This window comes from Homo sapiens, chromosome 10 (assembly GCF_000001405.40).
Source record: "Homo sapiens chromosome 10, GRCh38.p14 Primary Assembly".
Lineage (NCBI taxonomy): Eukaryota > Metazoa > Chordata > Mammalia > Primates > Hominidae > Homo > Homo sapiens.
The window spans coordinates 37,890,123-37,916,414 of record NC_000010.11 but is presented as its reverse complement, the minus strand read 5'-3'; the positions used below and the strand labels follow the sequence as shown (position 1 = coordinate 37,916,414).

The 26,292-nt window shown below is 39.6% G+C and overlaps 1 pseudogene, besides 1 other annotated feature; it reads right to left on the bottom strand.

The window, feature by feature from the left end:
* Window positions 18,664-19,192: an enhancer, noted in NCBI's record as "H3K27ac-H3K4me1 hESC enhancer chr10:38186151-38186679 (GRCh37/hg19 assembly coordinates)". NCBI's record gives its function as "activates a minimal SCP1, AML or CMV promoter by ChIP-STARR-seq in primed H9 embryonic stem cells {active_cell/tissue: H9 hESC(primed)}" and the evidence as "EXISTENCE:reporter gene assay evidence [ECO:0000049][PMID:30033119]".
* ZNF33CP (zinc finger protein 33C, pseudogene) lies at window positions 19,480-21,820 on the bottom strand (annotated as a pseudogene).

The following is a 26,292-nucleotide window of genomic DNA, read 5'->3' as shown; positions in this document are numbered from 1 at the left end:
ATGTTGCCCAAGCTGGTCTTGAACTCCTGGGCTCAAGCAATCCACCTGCCTTGGCCTCCCAAAGTACTGGGACTACAGGCATGAGCCACCATGCCCAGCCCTATGTAGAGTCTGAAAGAAATCTCAAACTATGGACTTCAGTTAACAAAAATGTGCCAATATTGGTGTGCTAATTGTAACATACTAAGGTATGACATCAACAACCGGGGAAACAGTGTGAAATAATATATGAAAACTCTTTGTACTATCTTCACAATTTTTGCAAATCTAAATTAAAAGTTTTAAATTCTTGTAAATTTAAAATTATTCAACAAATGGTGAAAAGTATAAAAAGTGACCCATAAAAAGCAGCAAAACAGCAAACAATGAGAAAAAGTGATTGAGTTAAAGAAAAAACCTTAAATCACCAATTATAAATATGCTACATGTTTACCAACTAAAAAGAAAATGATTACAGAAAAGAAACATATAACATATGAAGCAAATGGGAATTCCAGAGATTTTCTTAAAAATCACTGAATGTGGCCAGGCGCGGTAGCTCACGCCTGTAATTCCAGCAATTTGGGAGGCTGCGGTGAGTGGATCACTTGAAGCAAGGAGTTTAAGACCAGCCTGGCCAACATGGTGAAACACTGTCTCTACTAAAAATACAAAAGCTAGCTGGGTGTGGTGGCACATGCCTGTAATCCCAGCTACCTGGGAGGCTGAGGCAGGAAAATCACTTGAACCTGGTAGGTAGAGGTTGCAGTAAGCAGTAAGCCTAGATTGCACTACTGCACTCCAGCCTGGGCAACACAGTGAGACTCCATCTCAAAAAAAAAGCAATTTCTAAAAATCCTATAAACAACAACAACAAAATGTTAAAAGGAGACAGAGAAAAAGCATACAACATATCCTGAGGAACAAAGATTTAAAAATTATCTTAGACTTGCATCACAAAGTATCCAAGCCAAAAAACAAAGGAATGAAACCTTTGGAGTATTAGAAGAAAAACACCCCTACCAATATAATCCTATAGCCATCTAAAAAATCTCCCATAAAAAGGCAAGAAATACCTTTTCATGCTCCCAAAAAACAAAAGCTGGGAACATTTATCACCAGGAAAATTGCATTACCAGAAATGTTAAATGGAATTCTGTTAAGCAAAAGAAAAAGAATACCAGATGAAAATCTGAATATCTACAAACGAATGAAGAATTTACCAAAAATGGTAAATAATGAGACAAATATAAAATATTTCTCATTCAAAAATTACTCTAAAAGGGCTGGGCACGGTGGCTCACGCCTGTAATCCCAGCACTTTGGGAGGCAGAGGCGGGCAGATCACAAGGTCAGGAGATCGAGACCATCCTGGCCAACATGGTGAAACCCGGTCTCTACTCAAAACACAAAAATTAGCTGGGCATGGTGCCTGTAATCCCTGCTACTCGGGAGGCTGAGACAGACGAATTGGTTGAACCTGGGAGTCAGAGATTGCAGTGAGCCTAGATCGCGCCACTGCACTACAGCCTCCATCTCAAAAAAAAAAAAATTCTTTAAAAGGTAACTGTTTAAAGCAAGCAAAATAGTATAATGCAGGATTTATTGGAAACACAGCAATGGGGCCGGGCGTGATGGCTCACACCTGTAATCCCAACACTTTGGGAGGCCAAGGCAGGTGGATCACCTGAGGTCAGGAGTTCAAGACCAGCCTGGCCAACATGGAGAAACCCCATTTCTACTAAAAATACAAAAATGAGCTGGGCATGGTTGTGCACACCTGTAATCCCAGCTACTCTGGAGGCTGAGGCAGGAGAATTGCTTGAACCTGGGAGGCGGAGGTTGCAGTGAGCCAAGATCATGCCACTGCACTCCAGCCAGGGTGACAGAGCAAGACTCTGTCTCTCTCAAAAAAAAGAAATGGAAAGTATGACAACAATAGTGCAAAACAGGAGAGGGGAAACTAAGTACACTCTAAGTTAAAGATCTATTATTATTTGAAGGTAGATTGTGATAAATTAAAGAAACTGATGTAAATTTCAAAGAAACACCTATATAATAATGTTTTTAAAGTTGATCCAAATTGTGAAAAAAATGGAATACAAAAATACATTTAAAAAGACAGATAAAGAAAAGAATAATGAAATAAATAAAAAACAATTAGTCTAAATAATATGGCATACAAACGTTTCTCCCTGTTCCTCCTTTCCTCTGGAAATAACAAGGGACAAGAAAAGGAAATTCTGAAAAGTGGTAAGAAAAAGGTAAACTGGCATATGAGCCCAGAACTGGAGGAACAATGCAACAGCATGGCACTTTATCTACACAGAATAAGGCATCCCAGACCCAACATTTCCTGACCTCCAAACTAGCAACAAAGCAGCCCTAGTAAGCTCATTCCTCTCCCTGAACTAAAGGGAGTCCCCTCTTACAGTCTCAGGCAAGCCTGAAACCCCTGGCAAAGGCGACTGACCTGGAGAATCCTCCAACAATAAACAGGCGGAGAAGTGCTCCCCTCCCCAACCAAGAGACTGAAGTAGGTGAGGCCCAGCCAAGAAAAGGTCTCATCCAGGAAGCCTCTTTGTATCCACAGGCCTAAGAATTCTCCATCCCCACCAACAGATACCTCGTGGAATGGCCTGGAGAAACTCCTTTGGCTCCTTCAGGCAGCACCAACAAGAACCAGAGGCAGGCCCATCTGTACTAGATAAAAGGAGTAGACTAAAATAACACCAGAAAGACTCTGAAAACTGTCACTGGAACCACAGCCCATAAAGGTAAGCCAAGAACTGCAAGCTGAAACCTAAAGAAGGTATCTGCCTGCAAAAATAAAAGATTGAAATAGGACTCACAGTTTCCAAACCTAAGTAGGAAAAATGTACAGGATACCTTTAAAAATCACACATCCTAACAAAAACCAACAACAACAACTTGAAAAAGAGAAGAATCAAATGACACTAACACTGAGATGGATCAGATACTGGAATCATCTGGCAGACTTTAAAGCAGCCATTAGAAATAATGCTTCAGGCCAGGTGCCGCAGCTCATGCCTGTAATCCCAGCACTTTGGGAGGCTGGGGGCGGGTGGATCACTTGAGGCCAAGAGTTCGAGACCAGCCTGGCCAACATGGCGAAACCCCATCTCTACTAAAAATATAAAAATTAGCCAGGGGTGGTGGCGCACACCTGTAATCCCAGCTACTCGGGAGACTGAGGCAGGAGAATCACTTGAACCCGGGAGGGGGAGGTTTCAGTGAGCCAAGATTGCACCACTGCAGTCCAGCCTGGGTGACAGAGTGAGACTCCATCTAATAATAATAATAATAATGATGCTTCAAAATCAATAATACAGGAGTGACATCACCAAGGTGGCTAAGCAGAAGTTCCTAGAGCTAGTGCCTCCCACAAAAACAACTAAAACAACTTCTTTCAATGAAAACAACTAAAGGAGATCAGAATAAAGCACAGGAGTCAAAGAATCTTGCAAAGCACAGAGACACAGAGAAACTCAGGCGGGCTGCACAGAGAAGGAAAGGAAATACCTCACCTCTGCCACCCCATACCCCAACTGGGATCAACTTGGAACCAGGAAGGACTTCTCCCTGTAGGGAAAAGTCATGCAGGAGGATGCCAGCAACCCCCATTACCACATGGACACCTGCAGTCTTTGCCACTGGGGACTCCTACAGGCCATACAGGTGCTGAGCCCACCTGAGGGAGCTGCTCAGAGCTACGCTTCACAGCTAGACCAGTGAAACAGCATAGACAGCCCAGAAAAAAACCAAACATATATGGTGAACTAATTTTCAGCAAGGGCACTACAAGGACACAATGAGGAAAAGGCAATCTCTTCAATAAATGGTTCTAGGAAAGCTGGTTTTTCAAATGCAAAAGAATGAAATGGGACCTTTTTCTTATATCACACAAAAATCAACTCAAAAATACATAATAGAACTAAAAATAAGACCTGAAACCATAAGACTACTTGAAGAAAACACAGAGGAAAAGTTCCTTAACAGTGGCCTTTGCAATGATTTTTTGGATATCACACCCAAAGGTCAGGCTACAAAAGCTAAAATAAATGGAACTAAAACTAAAATGCTTCTGCATAGCCAAGGAAACAATCAACAAAATGAAAAGGTAACATATGGGTTGGGAAAAAATATTTGTAAACCATATAGCTGATAACAGTTTAATATAAACAATTTATTTAAAAACTCATACAGTCAATAGCAGAAACAAATAACCTGGTTAAAAAACTGGACAAAGGACCTAATAGACATTTCTCCAAAGACATAAAAATAGCCAACACGTATATGAAAAGGTGCTCAATATTAGTAATCATCAGGGAAATGCAAATCAAAACCATATGAGATATCATCTCATACCCATAGGATGTCTATTAACAACAAAAAAAGACAAAAGATACTAAGTATCAGCAAGGGTATGAAGAAAAGGCAGCCCTTGTACACTGCTGGTGGGAATATAGATTGGTGCAGTCATTATGGAAAGCAGTATGGAGTCCTACAGACATTAAAAATAGAACTTCTGGCAGGGCGCAGTGACTCACGCCTGTAATCCCAGCACTTTGGGAGGCCAAGATGGGCATTTCACCTGAAGTCGGGAGTTCAAGACCAGCCTGACCAACATGGGGAAAGCCCATCTCTACTAAAAATACAAAATTAGCCAGGTGTGGTGGCGCATGCCTATAGCTACTTGGGAGGCTGAGGCAGGAGAATCACTTGAACCCAGGAGGCAGAGGTTGTGGTGAGCTGATATCACGCCATTGCACTTCAGCCTGGGCAACAAGAGCGAAACTCTGTCTCAAAAAAAAAAAAAAAGGAACTTCCATATGACCCAGCAATCCCGCTTCTGCCTACACCAAAAGAAGATGAAATCACCACCTCATAAAGATCTCTGCACTCTGATGTTCATTGCAGCATTACTCTAAGTAGCCAAGATATAGAAACAACCTAAGTGTCCGTCAGTGAGCAAACAGATAATGAAATTGTGAAATATTTATACAATAGAATATCATTTAGCCTTAAGAAGGCGGCTCTGCCATTTGCCACAACATGAATGAAACTGGAGGACATTATGCTAAGTGAAATAGGCCAGATACAGAAATTAAAATATTGCATGATCTCACATGCATAGCTTTTTTAAAAAGTCAAATATTGAGACAGAGAATAAAACAGTGGTTAACAGGTGTAGCGGCAGGGGCAAACAAATCAGGAGAGGCAGGTCAAAGCATACAAAGTAGCAGACATGTACGATGAACAAGGCTAGAAATCTAATGTATAATGTGAGGACCATAGTTAATTATACAGTGCTGTATTTGGAAAGACTGTAGCTGCTCTTGCCACAAAAAAAATGGGTAACTACACATGATGGATATGTTAATTTACTATTGTAAACATTTTACTACCTATATGTATCTCATAACATCATGTTGCATAACTTAAATATACAGCTGGCCCTTGAATAACACAGGTTTAAACGGCAGTTCATGTAAATGTGAATTTTCTTCCACCTCTGCCGCCCCTAAGACAGCAAGAGCAACCTCTCTTCTTTCTCCTCCTCCTCAGACTACTCCATGTGAAGATAAGGATGAAGACTTTTATGATGATCCACTTCCACTTAATGAATAGTAAACATATTTTCTCTTCCTTATAATTATCTCGGTAACATTTTCTTTTCTGTAGCTTTATTGTAAGAATACAGCATATCATACATATAACCTTCAAAATATGTGTTAATCAATTAATACTGGCAAAGCTTCTGGTGAACAGCAGGCTGTTAGAAGTTTTGGGAGAGTAAAAAATTATACATGAATTTTAGATTATGCAGGGGTCTATATTCTTAAACCTCACATTGATCAAGGGTCAACTCCACTTATAAAAGAAAAAAAAAATAGCTGTAAAACAGCCTTGAGCAGGTCCTTCAGGAGGTATTCCAGAAGAAGGCATTGTCATCATAGAAGATAACAGCTCCACCCAAATTACTGCCCCTGAAGACCTTCCAGAGGAACAAGATATGGAGATGGAAGACAATGATATTGATGACCCTTTGTGTACACCCTGGATAATGTGTGTGTTTAAGTCTTGGTTTTTAACAAAAGAGTTTTAAATGTTTAAAAAAATAAATTATAGGTCGGGCACAGTGGCTCACAACTGTAATCCCAGCACTTTGGGAGGCCAAGGCAGGCGGATTGCTTGAGCCCAGGAGTTTGAGACCAGCCTGGGCAATATGGCGAAACCGTATCTCTACCAAAAAAGAAAAATAAAATCAGCCAGGCATGGTGGCTCGCAGCTGTAGTCCCAGCTTCCTGGGAAGCTGAGGTGGAAGGATCACTTGAGCCCAGCTGAGACTGCATTGGGCCGTGATTGCACCACCGCACTCCAGCCTGGGCAACAGATGAGACCCTGTTCCAAAAAATAAAAATAAAAAAATTGAAAATAGAAAAGAGCTTAGAAAACAAGAATATTAAGGGGGGAAATGTGTACTGCTGGCTGCACAATGTGCTTGTGTTTTAATCTAAGTGTGTTATTACAAAACAGGCAGTAAGTTAAAAAAAATTAAAAGTTTGGTCAGGCACGGTGGCTCACACCTGTAATCCCAGCACTTTTGGAGGCCGAGGAAGGTGGGTCATGAGGTCAGGAGTTTGAGACCAGCCTGGCCAACATGGCGAAACCCCATCTCTACTAAAACTACAAAAATTAGCTGGGTGTGGTGGTAGGTGCCTGTAATCCCAGCTACTTGGGAGGCTGAGGCAGGAGAATCGCTTGAACACAGGAGGCGGAGGTTGCAGTGAGCTGAAATTGTGCCATTGCCCTCCGGCCTGGGCAACAAGGGCAAGACTCTGTCTCAAAAATAAATAAATAAATACATTTAAAAGTTTATAAAGTAAAAAAGTCCCAGAAAGCTAAGGTTAATTTATTATTGGAAAAATAAAAGTATTTTCTATAAACTTACTGTAGCCTAAGTGTCCAGTGTTTATAAAGCCCACAGTAGTGTACAGTAATTTCCTAGGCCTTCATATTCACTCATCACTTACTGACACACAGAACAACTTCCACTCCCACAAGCTCCATTCAAGGCAAGTCCCCTATACAGGTGCACCATTTTAAAAATCTTTTACAATGTATTTTTATTGTACCTTTTCTATGTTTAGTTACACATATACCACTGGGTTACAACTGCCTTCAGTATTCAGTACAGTAACTTGCTGTATGGTTTGTAGCCTAGGAGCAATAGGTTATATCAGATAGCCTGGGTGTGTAGTAGGCTATACCATCTAAGTCTGTGTAAACACGCTCTGTGATGTTCAAACAATGACAAAATCACCTAATGATACATTCCACAGAAGATATCCCCTATGATTAAGTGATGCATGACTATATACAGAAAATCTCAGGGATTCACAAAAGATATCAAAATTAAGTTTATCAAGATCAATGGAAATAGGGTCAGTGTACAAATATCAAGTGTATTTCTAAATACAAACAAGGGACAACTGGTAATTGAAATTAAATAATAATATTTACAATAGCACCCAAAACCAAGATATACCTAGGGAAAAATTTAACATGTGCAACATCCATACACTGGCAATTAAAAGCATTGTTGAGAAACAATTAAAGACCCAATTAAATTAAAGGCACACTTAAATGGAGAGAGATATCATATTCATGGATGAGTCAATATCAAGATGTCAATTTTCCCCAAAGTAATTTAGAGTAAATGAAATCCTAATCAAAGCAGCGCTTTTTTTTTTAAGAAACTGACAAGCTCATTCTAAAATTTAAGTGGAAATGCAAAGGACTTAGAAAAGTCTAAATGATGCTGGGCGCATTGGCTCATGCCTGTAATCTCAGCACATTGGGAGGCTGAGGAGGGTGGATCACCTGAGGTTAGGAGTTCGAGACCAGCCTGACCAACATGGTGAAAACCCATCTCTACTAAAAATACAAAAACTAGCTGGGTGTGGTGGCAGGCGTCTGTAATCCCAGCTACTCAGGAGGCTGAGGCAGGAGAATCGCTTGAATCCAGGAGGCTGAGGTTGCAGTGACTCGAGATTGCGCAATTGCACTCCAGCCTGGGCGACACAGCAAGACTCCATCTCAAAAAAAAAAAAAAGTCAAAATGATTTTAAAGCAGAAAACAAACTTGAAGAACTTATAGGACTTCATTTAAAGATGTACTTTAAAGCTAAGACAATGCTCTGTAAAGAAGATACAAAGGTCGATGTAATACAGTGGTCTCCAACATTTGGCACCAGGGACTGCTTTTGTGGAAGACAATTTTTCCAGACCAGGGTGGGTGGGGGAGGGGATGGTTTCGGGATGAAACTGTTCTACCTCAGGTCATCAGGCCCTAGTTAGACTCTTATACAGCACGCACAACCAAATCCCTTGTATGCTCAGTTTACAATAGGGTTTGCCCTCCTGTGAAAATCTAATGCTGCCGCTGATCTGACAGGAGGCAGAACTCAGGCAGTAATGCTTGCTTGCTCACCCGCTGCTCACCTCCTGCTGTGAAGCAGGGTTCCTAACAAGCCATGGACTGGCACTGGTCCGCTACCTGGGAGTTGGGGACCCCTGGTGTAAAATTAAGAGTCCACAGGTACATAGCATCCCCCTCCCATATACAGGCAAACACACACAAATAATTAACTGGATTTCAACAAAGGTACTGAGGTAATTCAATAGAAAAAGTTAAACTTTTCAACAAATGGTGACGAAACAACTGAATAGTCAAGTGGGAGAAAATACATCTCAATCCTTAATTTATACCATACACAAAAATTAACTCAAAATAGATCACATTTACTCAAAATAGATCAGACATTTTGAATAAATTTACTCAAAATAGATCTAAAAACAGAGTTAAGACACTGAGAAAACATGGGGAAAAAAACTTTGCTAACATTAAAGATTTCTTAGACAAGACCATTAAAGAAGAGCACATGCTTGTTGTCCCGGCTACTTGGCACGCTGAGGCAGGAGAATCGCTTGAACTCCAGGAGGTGGAGGTTGCAGTAAGCCAAGATTGTTCCATTGTACTCCAGTCTGGGCAAAAAGAGCAAAACTCTGTCTCACAAAAAAAAAAAAAAAAAAAAAAATTCCACAGACTGGGGAATAATATTCACAATGAATAGAGAATTCCTGAAATTCAATTAATAGCAAGACAAAAAACCCAACTAAAAAGTGGGGAAACAATGTAAGCAGACATTTCATAAAATATGACATACAAATGGCTAATAAGTGAAAAACGCATAACATCATTATTCATCAGGTGAATGCAAGTGAAAAACACAGTGAAATGCCACTATACACTGATTAGAGTAACTACATTAAAAACAGTGACAATGGCAAGTATTGGCAAAAATGTAGAATTAAAACTCTCAAACATTAATGACAAAAATGTAAAATGGTACAACCCTAGGTTTGCAAAGTAAGTATATATAAAGCCAAATGAAAGCTTTGCATGTACTTATCCTACAAACCTAGAAATTTTACATCAAGTATTCACCCAAGATAAATAAAAACACATGTCTACAGAAAAATACACAAGAATGTCCCCTGGCAGCTGTTTTAGTACATTTTGTGTTGCTATAAAGGAATATATGATATAATTTATAAATAAATTTTATTTTTAAAGAAAAGAGGTTTATTTGGCTCATGATTCTGATGTCTGAGAAAGCTTAAGATTGGACATCTTGTGAGGGCCTCAGACTGCTTTCGTTTGGCAGAAGAGACCCAGTGATCACTGTGCATGGAGATCAAATGGTAAGAGAGGAACCAAGAGAGTTAAGGGAGGTGCCAGGCTATTTTTAACAACCAGCTCTCATGGAAACTATTGGAGCGAGGACTCTCTCACCCTTGAGAGAGGGCATCATCTATTCATGAAGGATCTGCCTCTAGGATCCAAACACCACCTATTAGGTGCCACCTCTAACATGGGATCAAATTTCAACATGAAGTTCAGACAGGACACACATCCAAATGATAGCAGCAAGTATATTCCTTGCAATCAAAAACCAGAAACAACAGAATATATAAGTCAAAATATACACATACAATAGAATACTAGTTATCAATAACATGAAGGTGTTACTAACACATGTTAAAACATAGGTGAATCTCAAAATCATGCTGAATCAAAGCAGACAGACACAAATGAGTAAATCCTGTATAACTCCATTTATGTGAAATGCTACAAAAGATAAATCTAGCCTGGTGATAGAAAGTGGATAATTAGGGCCAGGCACAGTGGCTCACACCTGTAATCCCAGCACTTTGGGAGGCCGAGGCAGGTGGATCATGAGGTCTGCCTGGCGACAGAGCGAGACTCCATCTCAAAAAAAAAAAAAAAGTGGATTAATTGGTTGCCAGGGCCAGGAGGGGAAAAGGGGAAGTGAGTGACTGGGAAGAGGAATGGGAAATCTTTCTGGGTAATGGGTATGCTCTGTATCTTTTTTTATTATACTTTTTTTAAAATTATACTTTAAGTTCTAGGGTACATGTGCACAACATGCAGGTTTGTTACATAGGTATACATGTGCCATGTTGGTTTGCTGCACCCATCAACTCGTCATTTACATTAGGTATTTCTCCTAATGCTATCCCTCCCCCAGCCCCCAACCCCTGACAGGCCCTGGTGTTTGATGTTCCCCGCTCTGTGTCCAAGTGTTCTCATTGTTCAACTCCCACCTATGAGTGAGAACATACGGTGTTTGGTTTTCTGTCCTTGTCATAGTTTGCTGAGAATAATGGTTTCCAGCTTCATCCATGTCCCTGCAAAGGACATGAACTCATCCTTTTTTATGGCTGCATAGTATTCCATGATGTATATGTGCCACATTTTCTTAATCTAGTCTATCATTGATGAACATCTGGGTTGGTTCCAAGTCTTTGCTATTGTGAATAGTGCCACAATAAACATACATGTGCATGTGTCTTTACAGTAGCATGATTTATAATCCTTTGGGTATATACCCAGTAATGGGATGGCTGGGTCAAATGGTATTTCTAGTTCTATATCCTTAAGGAATTGCCACATTGTCTTCTACAGTAATTGAGCTAGTTTATACTCCCACCAACAGTGTAAAAGCATTCCTATTTCTCCACATCCTCTCCAGCAACTGTTGTTTCCTGACTTTTTAATGATTGTCATTCTAACTGGTGTGAGATAGTATCTCATTGTGGTTTTGATTTGCATTTCTCTGATGACCAGTGATGATGAGCATTTTTTCATGTGTCTGTTGGCTGCATAAATGTCTTCTTTTTGAGAAGTGTCTGTTCATATCCTTTGCCCACTTTTTGATGGGGTTGTTTTTTTCTTGTAAATTTAAGTTATTTGTAGATTCTGCTCTGCATCTTAAGTGTGGTAGTTACTACATGAGGGTATACTGTTGTAAAAACTCATTGTATTAGTCCGTTCTCACAGCTATAACGATACTACCTGAGACTGGTTAATTTAAAAACAAAAGAAGTTTAATTACTCACAGTTCAGAATGGCTGGGGAGGCCTCAGGAGACTTACAATCATGGTGAAAAGTGAAGGGGAAGCAGGCAACTTATTAACAGGGCGGCAGGAGACAGCAAGTGAGTGCAGGGGAAACTGACGTTTTTGAAAATATCAGATCTCGTGAGAACTCCCTCACTATCATGAGAACAGCACGGGAGAAACCACTCCCATGATCCAATCACCTCTTGTCAGGTCCTTCCTTCAACACATGGGGATTACAATTCAAGATGCAATTTGGGTGGGGACACAGAGCCCCAAACCATATCACTCATAAAATTGGCTAAACAGGGTATCTTTTACCATGTTTAAATTATACCTAAGTTGATTTATAAAAATTATCATACATTGTTTTAATAGTGAAACAAAATTTTGAAATTTCATAAACAGGAAAATGGACAATATTTTATAGTTACACAAAGTCATTTATTATACCTTATTAAAATAAGTAAAGCTAAACATATCAGCAGGTAAAAAGGTCAAAACCATGCATTTGAAGACAAAAGCTGAATAACTTCAACTTTTGCAAATACTTGCAAAACAACAAAATGTTATTGTACATACACAATAGTATATGTGTTATATGGAAAGAAAGAATAAAAGTAATGAGATGTGGTATCAATAAAAGCCAAGTTGAAAATAAGGCTTAAAGGTGGTAAAGGTTATAGGAAGTTAAAGGAATTTGGGAATGATATGCAGATGCTTAAACTACTTGTGTAATACTTTACTTCCAAGCTGCAATAAGTACACTGATGGTTATGTTATGAAATATTTGACTAAAACTACACCAGCCCACCTAAAAGGGTTCACTAAAATTGAGTCAATAGGCTTGGATTCAAAAAAAGTAAGCTATACTGAGCTTCCTGTGGCTCTGAATTGGAGACTAAGGTCACATGGGCTAGAGGTTTCTAGGTGGTCCTCTAGCTTTGTACACACACTTAATGTGGTTTCCAGTCTCTGCACCTAGGAAGAGGGGCAGATGCAGCCTCAAGGACAACGTATATCCCACTGCCTCTGGCTGGTCCCAGTGTACGTTCTGGTAAGAGGGTCGTCCATCCTGAGCTCCCCTAAGGGTAGGTCCACTAGGCAGAAAACGCAGAGGCAACAGTATAGTTGGAGGGCAGACTAATCAAGGACAGGAGAGGCTCATGATAGGAAGGGCCATGGGGTAACACTCTTTCCCCAAAAGTGGACTCAGAGACTGAAAAGGTTATTGAATTTATTTGTACTTTATAAAAATCTTCATACTCTACAGTTATTATTTGTATAGAATTCTATTTACAGTTATATTTACATTTAAAAATTTGGGGTCAGAACAAAACATGACTGATTTTTTTAAAACATGACTTTCAGTATAATATTGTATCTAGAAGAAAATTTCTATTCATTATTTCCTAAATTGACACATTTCCTTTAACACAATCTTCAGATATAATAAGGTCTGAATTTTTGTTAATGTCTTCACATTCAAAATATCTGTTATAACTTTAACTCAATATGAATTATCTTGCTCAGTAAAATGGCATTTCTTGATATAGGCTCAACAACATTTGCTGCATTCTTTGAGTGTCTTCCCTATTATTTCTTTAATACACAATGAGTAAAACTTGTGCATAAAGTTGTCACAAGAAAAAAAAAACCCACAGAATGTTGACGGTTTTTTCTAAATGTGGTTTATCTTATTTTTATTAATGGTCATTCTCTGGAAGAACATTTTCATATATCCATGTGAGTCATTAGATTATTTCCTATGTAAGTTCTTTAATAAACTCCAAATTATAGCAAAATATTTCCCCATATTCCCTACATGTATTAGTAGCATTTCTTCTACATGTATTCAGTTACTTTGTAGTTGTCTTTTACAGCAGATTTTCAAACATTCATTACATTATTAGGAATTTCCCCTATGTCTATTCTCTCTTTTTTTTTTATTAAGTTTTAGGGTACATGTGCACATTGTGCAGGTTAGTTACATAAGTATACATGTGCCATGCTGGTGCGCTGCACCCACTAACTTGTCATCTAGCATTAGGTATATCTCTCGATGCTATCCCTCCCCCCTCCCCCCACCCCACAACAGTCCCCAGAGTGTGATATTCCCCTTCCTGTGTCCATGTGATCTCATTGTTCAATTCCCACCTACGAGTGAGAATATGCGGTGTTTGGTTTTTTGTTCTTGCGACAGTTTACTGAGAATGATGATTTCCAATTTCATCCATGTCCCTACAAAGGACATGAACTCATCATTTTTTATGGCTGCATAGTATTCCATGGTGTATATGTGCCACATTTTCTTGATCCAGTCTATCATTGTTGGACATTTGGGTTGGTTCCAAGTCTTTGCTATTGTGAATAATGCCACAATAAACATACGTGTGCATGTGTCTTTATAGCAGCATGATTTATAGCCCTTTGGGTATATACCCAGTAATGGGATGGCTGGGTCAAATGGTATTTCTAGTTCTAGATCCCTGAGGAATCGTCACACTGACTTCCACAATGGCTGAACTAGTTTACAGTCCCACCAACAGTGTAAAAGTGTTCCTATTTCTCCACATCCTCTCCAGCACCTGTTGTTTCCTGACTTTTTAATGATTGCCATTTTAACTGGTGTGAGATGGTATCTCATTGTGGTTTTGATTTGCATTTCTCTGATGGCCAGTGATGATGAGCATTTTTTCATGTGTTTTTTGGCTGCATAAATGTCTTCTTTTGAGAAGTGTCTGTTCATGTCCTTCGCCCACTTTTTGATGGGGTTGTTTGTTTTTTTCTTGTAAATTTGTTTGAGTTCATTGTAGATTCTGGATATTAGCCCTTTGTCAGATGAGTAGGTTGCAAAAATTTTCTCCCATTTTGTAGGTTGCCTGTTCACTCTGATGGTAGTTTCTTTTGCTATGCAGAAGCTCTTTAGTTTAATTAGATCCCATTTGTCAATTTTGGCTTTTGTTGCCATTGCTTTTGGTGTTTTAGACATCAAGTCCTTGCCCATGCCTATGTCCTGAATGGTAAAGCCTAGGTTTTCTTCTAGGGTTTTTATGGTTTTAGGTCTAACGTTTAAGTCTTTAATCCATCTTGAATTGATTTTTGTATAAGGTGTAAGGAAGGGATCCAGTTTCAGCTTTCTACATATGGCTAGCCAGTTTTCCCAGCACCATTTATTAAATAGGGAATCCTTTCCCCATTGCTTGCTTTTCTCAGGTTTGTCAAAGATCAGATAGTTGTAGATACGTGGCGTTATTTCTGAGGGCTCTGTTCTGTTCCATTGATCTATATCTCTGTTTTGGTACAAGTACCATGCTGTTTTGGTTACTGTAGCCTTGTAGTATAGTTTGAAGTCAGGTAGTGTGATGCCTCCAGCTTTGTTCTTTTGGCTTAGGATTGACTTGGCGATGCGGGCTCTGTTTTGGTTCCATATGAACTTTAAAGTATTTTTTTTCCAATTCTGTGAAGAAAGTGATTGGTAGCTTGATGGGGATGGCATTGAATCTGTAGGTTACCTTGGGCAGTATGGCCATTTTCACGATATTGATTCTTCCTACCCATAAGCATGGAATGTTCTTCCATTTGTTTGTATCCTCTTTTATTTCCTTGAGCAGTGGTTTGTAGTTCTCCTTGAAGACGTCCTTCACATCCCTTGTAATTTGGATTCCTAGGTATTTTATTCTCTTTGAAGCAATTGTGAATGGGAGTTCACCCATGATTTGGCTCTCTGTTTGTCTGTTGTTGGTGTATAAGAATGCTTGTGATTTTTGTACATTGATTTTTTTTATCCTGAGACTTTGCTGAAGTTGCTTATCAGCTTAAGGAGATTTTCGGCTGAGACAGTGGGGTTTTCTAGATATACAATCATGTCATCTGCAAACAGGGACAATTTGACTTCCTCTTTTCCTAATTGAATACCCTTTATTTCCTTCTCCTGCCTAATTGCCCTGGCCAGAACTTCCAACACTATGTTGAATAGGAGTGGTGAGAGAGGGCATCCCTGTCTTGTGCCAGTTTTCAAAGGGAATGCTTCCAGTTTTTGCCCATTCAGTATGATATTGGCTGTGGGTCTGTCATAGATAGCTCTTATTATTTTGAAATACGTCCCATCAATACCTAATTTATTGAGAGTTTTTAGCATGAAGGGTTGTTGAATTTTGTCAAAGGCTTTTTCTGCATCTATTGAGATAATCATGTGGTTTTTGTCTTTGGCTCTGTTTATATGCTGGATTACATTTATTGATTTGCGTATATTGAACCAGCCTTGCATCCCAGGGATGAAGCCCACTTGATCATGGTGGATAAGCTTTTTGATGTGTTGCTGGATTCGTTTTGCCAGTATTTTATTGAGGATTTTTGCATCAATGTTCATCAAGGATATTGGTCCAAAATTCTCTTTTTTTGTTGTGTCTCTTCCTGGCTTTGGTATCAGAATGATGCTGGCCTCATAAAATGAGTTAGGGAGGATTCCCTCTTTTTCTATTGATTGGAATAGCTTCAGAAGGAATGGTACCAGTTCCTCCTTGTACCTCTGGTAGAATTCGGCTGTGAATCCATCTGGTCCTGGACTCTTTTTGGTTGGTAAGCTATTGATTATTGCCACAATTTCAGATCCTGTTATTGGTCTATTCAGAGATTCAACTTCTTCCTGGTTTAGTCTTGGGAGAGTGTATGTGTCCAGGAATTTTTCCATTTCTTCTAGATTTTCTAGTTTATTTGCGTAGAGGTGTTTGTAGTATTCTCTAATGGTAGTTTGTATTTCTGTGGGATCGGTGGTGATATCCCCCTTATCATTTTTTATTGCGTCTATTTGATTCTTCTCTCTTTTCTTTATTAGTCTTGCTAGCAGTCTAACAATTTTGTTTATCCTTTCAAAAAACCAGCTCCTGGATTCATTAATTTTTTGAAGGATTTTTGTGTCTCTATTTCCTTCAGTTCTGCTCTGATTTTAGTTATTTCTTGCCTTCTGCTAGCCTTTGAATGTGTTTGCTCTTGCTTTTCTAGTTCTTTTAATTGTGATGTTAGGGTGTCAATTTTGGATCTTTCCTGCTTTCTCTTGTGGGCATTTAGTGCTATAAATTTCCCTCTACACACTGCTTTGAATGCATCCCAGAGATTCTGTTATGTTGTGTCTTTGTTCTCGTTGGTTTCAAAGAACATCTTTATTTCTGCCTTCATTTCGTTATGTACCCAGTAGTCATTCAGGAGCAGGTTGTTCAGTTTCCATGTAGTTGAGTGGTTTTGAGTGAGATTCTTAATCCTGAGTTCTAGTTTGATTGCACTGTGGTCTGAGAGATTGTTATAATTTCTGTTTTTTACATTTGCTGAGGAGAGCTTTACTTCCCAGTATGTGGTCAATTTTGGAATAGGTGCGGTGTGGTGCTGAAAAAAATGTATATTCTGTTGATTTGGGGTGGAGAGTTCTGTAGATGTCTATTAGGTCCGCTTGGTGCAGAGCTGAGTTCAATTCCTGGGTATCCTTGTTGACTTTCTGTCTCGTTGATCTGTCTAATGTTGACAGTGGGGTGTTAAAGTCTCCATTATTAATGTGTGGGAGTCTAAGTCTCTTTGTAGGTGACTCAGGACTTGCTTTATGAATCTTGGTGCTCCTGTATTGGATGCATATATATTTAGGATAGTTAGCTCTTCTTGTTGAATTGATCCCTTTACCATTAAGTAATGGCCTTCTTAGTCTCTTTTGATCTTTGTTGGTTTAAGTTCTGTTTTATCAGAGACTAGGATTGCAACCCCTGCCTTTTTTTTGTTTTCCATTGGCTTGGTAGATCTTCCTCCATCCTTTTATTTTGAGCCTATGTGTGTCTCTGCACGTGAGATGGGTTTCCTGAATACAGCACACTGATGGTTCTTGACTTTTTATCCAATTTGCCAGTCTGTGTCTTTTAATTGGAGCATTTAGTCCATTTACATTTAAAGTTAATATTGTTATGTGTGAATTTGATCCTGTCATTATGATGTTAGCTGGTGATTTTGCTCGTTAGTTGATGCAGTTTCTTCCTCATCTCGATGGTCTTTACATTTTGGCATGATTTTGCAGTGGCTAGTACCGGTTGTTCCTTTCCATGTTTAGTGCTTCCTTCAGGAGCTCTTGTAAGGCAGGCCTGGTAGTGACAAAATCTCTCAGCATTTGCTTGTCTGTAAAGGATTTTATTTCTCCTTCACTTATGAAGCTTAGTTTGGCTGGATATGAAATTCTGGGTTGAAAATTCTTTTCTTTAAGAATGTTGAATATTGGCCCCCACTCTCTTCTGGCTTGTAGGGTTTCTGCCAAGAGATCTGCTGTTAGTCTGATGGGCTTCCCTTTGAGGGTAACCTGACCTTTCTCTCTGGCTGCCCTTAACATTTTTTCCTTCATTTCAACTTTGGTGAATCTGACAATTATGTGTCTTGGAGTTGCTCTTCTCGAGTAGTATCTTTGTGGAGTTCTCTGTATTTCCTGAATCTGAATGTTGGCCTGCCTTGCTAGATTGGGGAAGTTCTCCTGGATAATATCCTGCAGCGTGTTTTCCAACTTGGCTCCATTCTCCCCGTCACTTTCAGGTACACCAGTCAGACGTAGATTTGGTCTTTTCACATAGTCCCATATTTCTTGGAGACTTTGCTCATTTCTTTTTATTCTTTTTTCTCTAAACTTCCCTTCTCGTTTCATTTCATTCATTTCATCTTCCATTGCTGATACCCTTTCTTCCAGTTGATCGCATCGGCTCCTGAGGCTTCTGCATTCTTCCCGTAGTTCTCGAGCCTTGGTTTTCAGCTCCATCAGCACCTTTAAGCACTTCTCTGTATTGGTTATTCTAGTTATACATTCTTCTAAATTTTTTTCAAAGTTTTCAACTTCTTTGCCTTTGGTTTGAATGTCCTCCCATAGCTCAGAGTAATTTGATAGTCCGAAGCCTTCTTCTCTCAGCTCGTCAAAGTCATTCTCCATCCAGCTTTGTTCCGTTGCTGGTGAGGAACTGCGTTCCTTTGGAGAAGGAGAGGCGCTCTGCTTTTTAGAGTTTCCAGTTTTTCTGTTCTGTTTTTTCCCCATCTTTGTGGTTTTATCTACTTTTGGTCTTTGATGATGGTGATGTACAGATGGGTTTTTGGTGTGGATGTCCTTTCTGTTTGTTAGTTTTCCTTCTAACAGAGAGGACCCTCAGCTGCAGGTCTGTTGGAATACCCTGCCGTGTGAGGTGTCAGTGTGCCCCTGGTGGGGGTTGCCTCCCAGTTAGGCTGCCCGGGGGTCAGGGGTCAGGGACCCACTTGAGGAGGCAGTCTGCCTGTTCTCAGATCTCCAGTTGCATGCTGGGAGAACCACTGCTCTCTTCAAAGCTGTCAGACAGGGACATTTAAGTCTGCAGAGGTTACTGCTGTCTTTTTGTTTGTGTGTGCCCTGCCCCCAGAGGTGGAGCCTACAGAGGCAGGCAGGCCTCCTTGAGCTGTGGTGGGCTCCACCCAGTTTGAGCTTCCCGGCTGCTTTGTTTACCTAATCAAGCCTGGGCAATGGCGGGCACCCCTCCCCCAGCCTCACTGCCGTCTTGCAGTTTGATCTCAGACTGCTGTGCTAGCAATCAGCGAGACTCCGTGGGCCCAGGACCCTCCGAGCCATGTGCGGGATATAATCTCGTGGTGCGCCGTTTTTTAAGCCCGTCGGAAAAGCGCAGTATTCGGGTGGGAGTGACCCGATTTTCCAGGTGCCGTCCATCACCCCTTTCTTTGACTCAGAAAGGGAACTCCCTGACCCCTTGCGCTTCCCAAGTGAGGCAATGCCTCGCCCTGCTTCGGCTCGCGCACAGTGCACGCACCCACTGACCTGCGCCCACTGTCTGGCACTCCCTAGTGAGATGAACCCGGTACCTCAGATGGAAATGCAGAAATCACCCGTCTTCTGCGTCGCTCACCCTGGGAGCTGTAGACCGGAGCTGTTCCTATTTGGCCATCTTGGCTCCTCCCCGTCTATTCTCTTATTTACTTTGGAAGATGACTTATGGTAAAAGGTTTGCCAAATTCTTTACATTCACAGGGGTCATGTCCTATTTGATTTCTCCTACGTATTTTCAGGTATGAATTGCTTGAGAAAGATTTCTCTCATTTCTACATTTATAAGCTTTTTCCCATGTGTATCCTTGGATGTGCTATGAGACTTGATTTCTCAGAGGGTTTCCCACACTGGTTACATTCATAGGGTTTCTCCCTTGTACTTCTCTGATGTACTTTGAGGCCTGAGCTGCAACTGAAGCTTTTCCCACACTGATTACATTCATAGGGTTTCTCTACTGTATGTGTTCTCTAATGTTTAGTGAGATCTGACTTATGATAGAAGGACTTCCCTCATTCATTACATTTATAAGGTTTTTCCCCTGTGTGTATTCTCTGATGTACAGTAAGGACTGATTTCTCAGAGAAGGACTTCCCACACTCATTACATCCATAGGGCTTCTCCCCTGTGTGTGTTCTCTGATGTGATTTGAGGACTGAGTTGCAAATAAAGGTTTTCCCACATTTATTACAGTAATAAGATTTCTCCCCTCTGTGTGTTCTCTTATGTACTGTATAGTCTGCCTTATGGTAGAAGGTTTTCCCACATTTTTTACACACATAGGGTTTGTCTCCTGTATGCATTCTCTGGTGTATTGTAAGGTATGAATTCCTAGAGAAGAATTTCCCACATTCCTTACATTCACAGGGCTTCTCACCTGTGTGTGTTCTCTGATGTTTGGTTAGGTCTGATTTATTGTAGAAGGTTTTTCCACGTGCATTACATTTATAAGGTTTTTCCCCTGTGTGTATTCTCTGATGTACTGTGAGGACTGATTTCTCAGAGAAGGATTTCCCACACTCAGTATATTCATAGGGTTTCTCCTTTGCATGTGTTCTCTGATGTACTTTTAGGCCTGAGTTACGACTAAAAGTTTTCCCACATTGAGTACATTCATAGGGTTTTCCCCCTAGGTGAGTCTTCTGATGTTTAGTGGCATCAGACTTGTGGCAAAAGGTTTTGCTACATACCTTACATTCATAGGGTTTCTCGCCTGGGTGAGTTCTCTGATGTATTGTAAGATATGAACTCCTAGAGAAAGATTTCCCACATTCATTACATTCATAGGGTTTCTCACCTGTATATGTTTTACGATGTATTGTGAGAACAGAGTTGCTTATGAAGGTTTTTCCACATTGATTACATTCATAGGGTTTCTCCCCTGTGTGAATTCTCTGATGTACTGTAAGATATGACTTATGATAGAAGCTTTTTCTACATTCCTTGCATTCACAGGGTTGCTCTCCTGTGTGAGTTCTCTGATGTATTATGAGGTGTGAATTCCTAGAAAAGCATTTCCCACATTCCTTACATAGGGTTTCTCTCCTGTGTGGACTCTCTGATGTAGAGTGAGGAGAGATTTCCTAGAAAAGCATTTTTCACATTTATTACATTCATAGGGTTTCTCCCCTGTATGGATTCTTTGATGTTTGGTTAGCTTTGACTTTTCATAGAATGGTTTTACACATGGCTCACATCCACAGACTTCCTCTCCTCTGTGTGTTCTCTGAGTTACATTAAGTACTGACTTCTCGCACAAAGCTTCCCCTGATTTGTTACTTTCAAATATTTTCTCTCTTGTGTTAGGAAAGCTTGATCTGTTAAAATTCCTACACTTTCAATATGTTTATAGTGTTTCACCTCCAAATGAACTTTATGTTTCAAGAAAGGGGACTTCTCAAAGGTTTTTTCATATTCATTAAACTCATAAAAGTTTTCTCTTTTTTCTGACATTTTATGGACCATGAGAGTTGAATTATTACAGAACACTTTATTACATTCATTGTGTACACAAGGACTCGCTCCTGTGTAAGCTTGCTTATATGTAATGAAAACTGCCTTTCCATAGAAATCCTTTTCACATTCCTTATATTCAAAAGATTGCTCTAAATTTTGAATTCTCAGATATGAAATGAAGTCCTCCTTATGACTGAGACATTTTCCATTTTGAATAAACTCATAAGGTTTCTCTTCCATATGAGTTTTTTCATGGTTACTATTGAGGAATAGTTTTCCATATGCACTGAGGTCATGAGGCATCTTTCTTAAATAGTTTTTCTTACTATTAAATAAATCTGAAATGTATTGCAAACTCATACCACATAAGTCACATTTACAAGGTATTTTTATGGAAGGAAGTTGGTGTATGCTGAAATCAAACACTTTTCCTACTATGTTACCTCTCTCTATAGTCAGTGTTCTATTGTTGATATATGGAGCTTGCCAGATATGTCTGTCCTGGATTTCCTGACAGTGCTCTAGTTGATCATCCACTTTGCAGACTTCTAGAAATAAGAAAAAATAACCACAACTTATGAGTCTTGTGATATTTGTGATGAAATTACACTTACATACATACGCGCTTTTATATGTAGTTGACTTAGTTTCCTGGAATAAAGTAATCCAAAAAGTGTTAATCTCCTCCAGCCCTTTGGCTAGAAGAAAATAAACATGAAACCTTATAATGTGGAAAGTAGGGTGGAAATTTAGAACACACAATGGGCAATTTACAAATACGTACTTTGAAACAACACAGAGGTTACAAATAACCATAAAGCACAGTGAATATAGAATAGACACAAATAATGACATAAAACATTAGATATAAAAATGATACTAAAAATATATAAAATAAATAATATAAATATAAAAATGGCTAATCTAGAAATGGGACATGCAGAGAATGAGGGGGCAAGGAAAACTAGTAGTTAACAGTGTTCTAGAAAAATATCAGAGGAGGCCAGGCGTGGTGGCTCACACCTGTAATCTCAGCACTTCGGGAAGCCCAGGAGGGAGGATCACCTGAGGTTGGGAGTTCAAGACCAGCCTGACCAACATGAAGAAACCCCGTCTCTACTAAAAATGCAAAATTAGCTGGGTATGGTGGCACATGCCTGTAATCCCAGCTACTAGGGAGGCTGGACAGGAGAATCGCTTGAACCCAGGAAGTGGAGGCTGCGGTGAGCTGAGATCACGCCATTGCACTCCAGCCTGGGCAACAAGAGCAAAACTCTGTCTCAAAAGGAAAAAAAAAGAAAAAGAAAAAAAGAGAAGAAAAATGTCAGAGGAATGGTTTTATTTGTATGAAACATATCAAGTTTTAAATGGTGTTCTTCTACCACTTGAACCCACAAGGCAGGGGTTGTAATGGTTAGTGTTTCAGGTGGTATGAGTGAAAAGTGAAAATATAAAATATAAAAATATTTAGAAGACAGTTTACAAAAGTAAAATAGTAATAGATATGTTTTGTTTTGTTTTGAGATGGAGTCTGGCTCTGTCACCCATGCTGGAGTGCAGTGGCGTGATCTTAGCTCACTGCAACCTCTGCTTCCTGGGTTCAAGCAATTATCCTGCCTCAGCCTCCCGAGCAGCTGGGATCACAGGCACCCGCCACCTTGCCCAGCTAATTTTTGTATTTTAGTAGAGACATGGTTTCACCATGTTGGCCAGGTGGGTCTTGAACTCCTGACCTCAGATGATCCACCCCCCTCAGCCTCCGAAAGTGCTGGGATTACAGGTGTGAGCCACTGTGCCTGGCCTTTTTTTGAGATGGAGTTTTGCTCTGTCACCCAGGCTGGAGTGCAGTGGCATGATCGCAGCTCACTGCAACCTCCATCTCCCAAGTTCAAGTGATTCTCCTGCATCAGCCTCCTGATTAGCTGGGATTACAGGCATGTGCTACCACACCCGGCTAATTTTTTATATTTTTGGTAGAGATGGGGTTTCACCATGTTGGCCAGGCTGGTATCGAACTCCTGACCTCAAGTGATCCACCCACCTCGGCCTCCCAAAGTGCTGGGACTACAGGCGTGAGCCACCACACCCATCCCAATAACAGACAGTTACTTAACATCATTAAGAAAGGATGACGGAAAGACAAAAGTAAAATAACATTATGAGGGTCATTTGTGAGAGCAGCAGGCTTATAGAATGTAACAAATAAGATAAGTGAGGAAGATTTATGATTTGTCAGTAATGATTTTAGTTTCAGTTCTTGCCAATTTGCAGGGTATCAGAACATCCTCCCAGACTCCTGACCGCAGGTAAAACACTGCGTGAGTGGCCAAAGGCACTGGAAATAGAAAGGGGAAGGTCATCAGACCAAAACTTTGTATCATGGATATAGCAAGAGCTTATTATTATTTTTTGAAGATTCAATTTTATTGTTTTTCAACAGGTAATTTATGGTGATTACTGAAAACATATCAAGTTGTCTCCTAAATGTTAGTTTGTATCTTGTATTTGTCAGAGTTTTCCTACGATATCCACTGCACCTTTCTTCTTTTTGTACTTTGTTTTTTTGATATTTTCCCATTTTTTCTTCTTTACATCTTTGGAAGTTATACTATACCAGTTTCTCAATGGTTGGCTACCCATTAAATTTTACCAAGCTTTCTCACTCATCAAGATCCAGAGTTAGTTAACTAATGATACAATATCCATTATATGCCACATACCAAAGTGAGTTAATATCGTAAACCTCTTTTCTGAATTACAGAAGGATTTTGAAACACAATTTGATTATCCCCACCTCATTTATATGCAACTATTGTTTATTATATAATTGTGTCTTTTTTAGCGCTACAAAGTAAGTATCATTATTATTTTATACAAACATAATTTAGATTTACCTATGTTTCCTAAATTCCTATCACTTATTTACCAATACTCCCATCTCAAGCATTCTTTTAGGGTTCATTTTCTCTCTTCCTGTATTTGCTATTAGAATTTTACTAAAAAAATATGCAAAAGGTATGGTTTTTATAATTTATTGCAGGATCAATCCAATTTTAATTCTTTTTAAATGTTAAATGTAGTGTTCAGTAATCTGTACTGACAGACATTCCTTCTTCCTTACTCCTTTTATTTCCTCTTCTACTACTCTGAATGTGTCTTACATGGTTGTTTTATAATTACTAATAAATCCATGGTCTTAATTAATGGGTGTTTGAAAATATATTTTCCATTATTTCTGTTTACTCTCACAAATGACTTATTTCATCAGGTTTTGGTTTTAAGCTCATGTTTTGTTTAACTGTAAGTGAGAATATTGGGGATGCTTATCCTTGAGAGGAATTATTTTCCTTTCCTTAAAGCAAGCTACCAACCTAAGGTGACGGCCTAGAGTCTGGATCCCCTAGTGTGGGAGTATAGGAGAATAAGGGTGCAAAAAAGCCCTCTATCCCTACAGCAGGAGTGCAGAACTACATTGGGCCCAGGATCCTTTACTGACAGAAAAATAGAGGTCTCATAACACTGAAGAAGAAGCAGGTACAGTTATACCTCAGGCTCTGCAGGGGATTGTTTCCAGAACTTCCCTCAGATACCAAAATCCACAGATGATCAAGTCGCACAGTTAGCCCTGCCACACCTGCAGATACAGAGGGCTGACTGTACATGGTGAAAGCCTCCATGCTGAGGCCCAGGCACACAGGGCCTGCCTATGACTAAGGCTGTGTTAGAACAACAGAGAACACCCTTGCCCCCACCACAAGCATGGCATAGAGTAACAGGGAGCAGCAGCCTATTGCTGGCAGAGGGGCAAGAGCAGGGAGACACAGGCTTGGAGGGATAGCTAACAGCCGACACAGAGAAGCACGCGGAAAATTCTCCTAATGCAAAATATCTAAGAACTATGGGATAACAGACATATACAAGCAACTGGAGACCCAGGGAAAAAAGATGAAAAACATCAAACCACAGTTGTGAAAAGTGAGAGAACAGCAAGAAAGAAAAATACCACACACACACAAAAGGCAAAATCTATAAATATCATAGCCAAACAGCTAAAAACCAAGGATAAAAAGAAAATCTTTAAGGTAGCCAGAGAAAACAGGATATTAAATGCAGAAAAACAAAGATTTTTAAATTACAGCAGGAAATAATATCTAAGTCAGAAGACAACAGAATGAAATATTTAAAGTATGGAGAAAAAAAAATGTCAACCTAGAATTCTATACCCAGAGAAAAAAAAATCTTACAAACAAAGATAGTTTTTTTTAGACAAACAAAAGCTCAGAAAATTCACTGCCAACAGAGCTTTGCTTTATGAAATACTAAAGGAAGTTATTTACACAAAAGGAGGAAGATACACAAAGATATTAAGAATGCCTAAAATGTTTTCAAAATGGGGGGCAAATATAAAAGACTTTTAAATCATTATAAAAGACGACTGGCTTTATAGAGCAAAAATACTACTGATACATTGTGGGGTCTCTAAGTAAAAACATATGTCTACAATATCACATACAAAGGGAGGAAGACTTTAGCCCAGGAACTCAAAACCAGCCTGGGCAACATGGTGAGAGCTCGTCACTACTAAAAATACAAAACAACTAGACAGACATAGTGGTATGTCCTGTAGTTCAAACTACTCAGGAGGCTGAGGTGGTAGGATCACCTGAGGCCGGGAAGTTGAGCCGTGATTGTGTGACTGCACTCTAGCCTGGGCAACAGATCAAAACCGTATCAAAAAAACAAAAAAGAAAAAATGGGAGGACGGAATGGAGCTGTATCAAATCTTAAATCTTACATTGTTGTAAGATTCTAAGGTTATATGTGAAATAGTATAATACCACTTGAAAGGAGACTGATAAACTGATAATGCTTATTGTATATCATGGGGCAACCACTTAAAAGAAAAATTAAGAAAGAAGTACAGGCTGAGTATCCCTTACCTGAAATGCTTGAGACCAGAAGTGTTTTGGATTCCGGGTGTTTCTGGATTTTTTATTTTTTCAGATTTTGGAATATTTGTATATTGT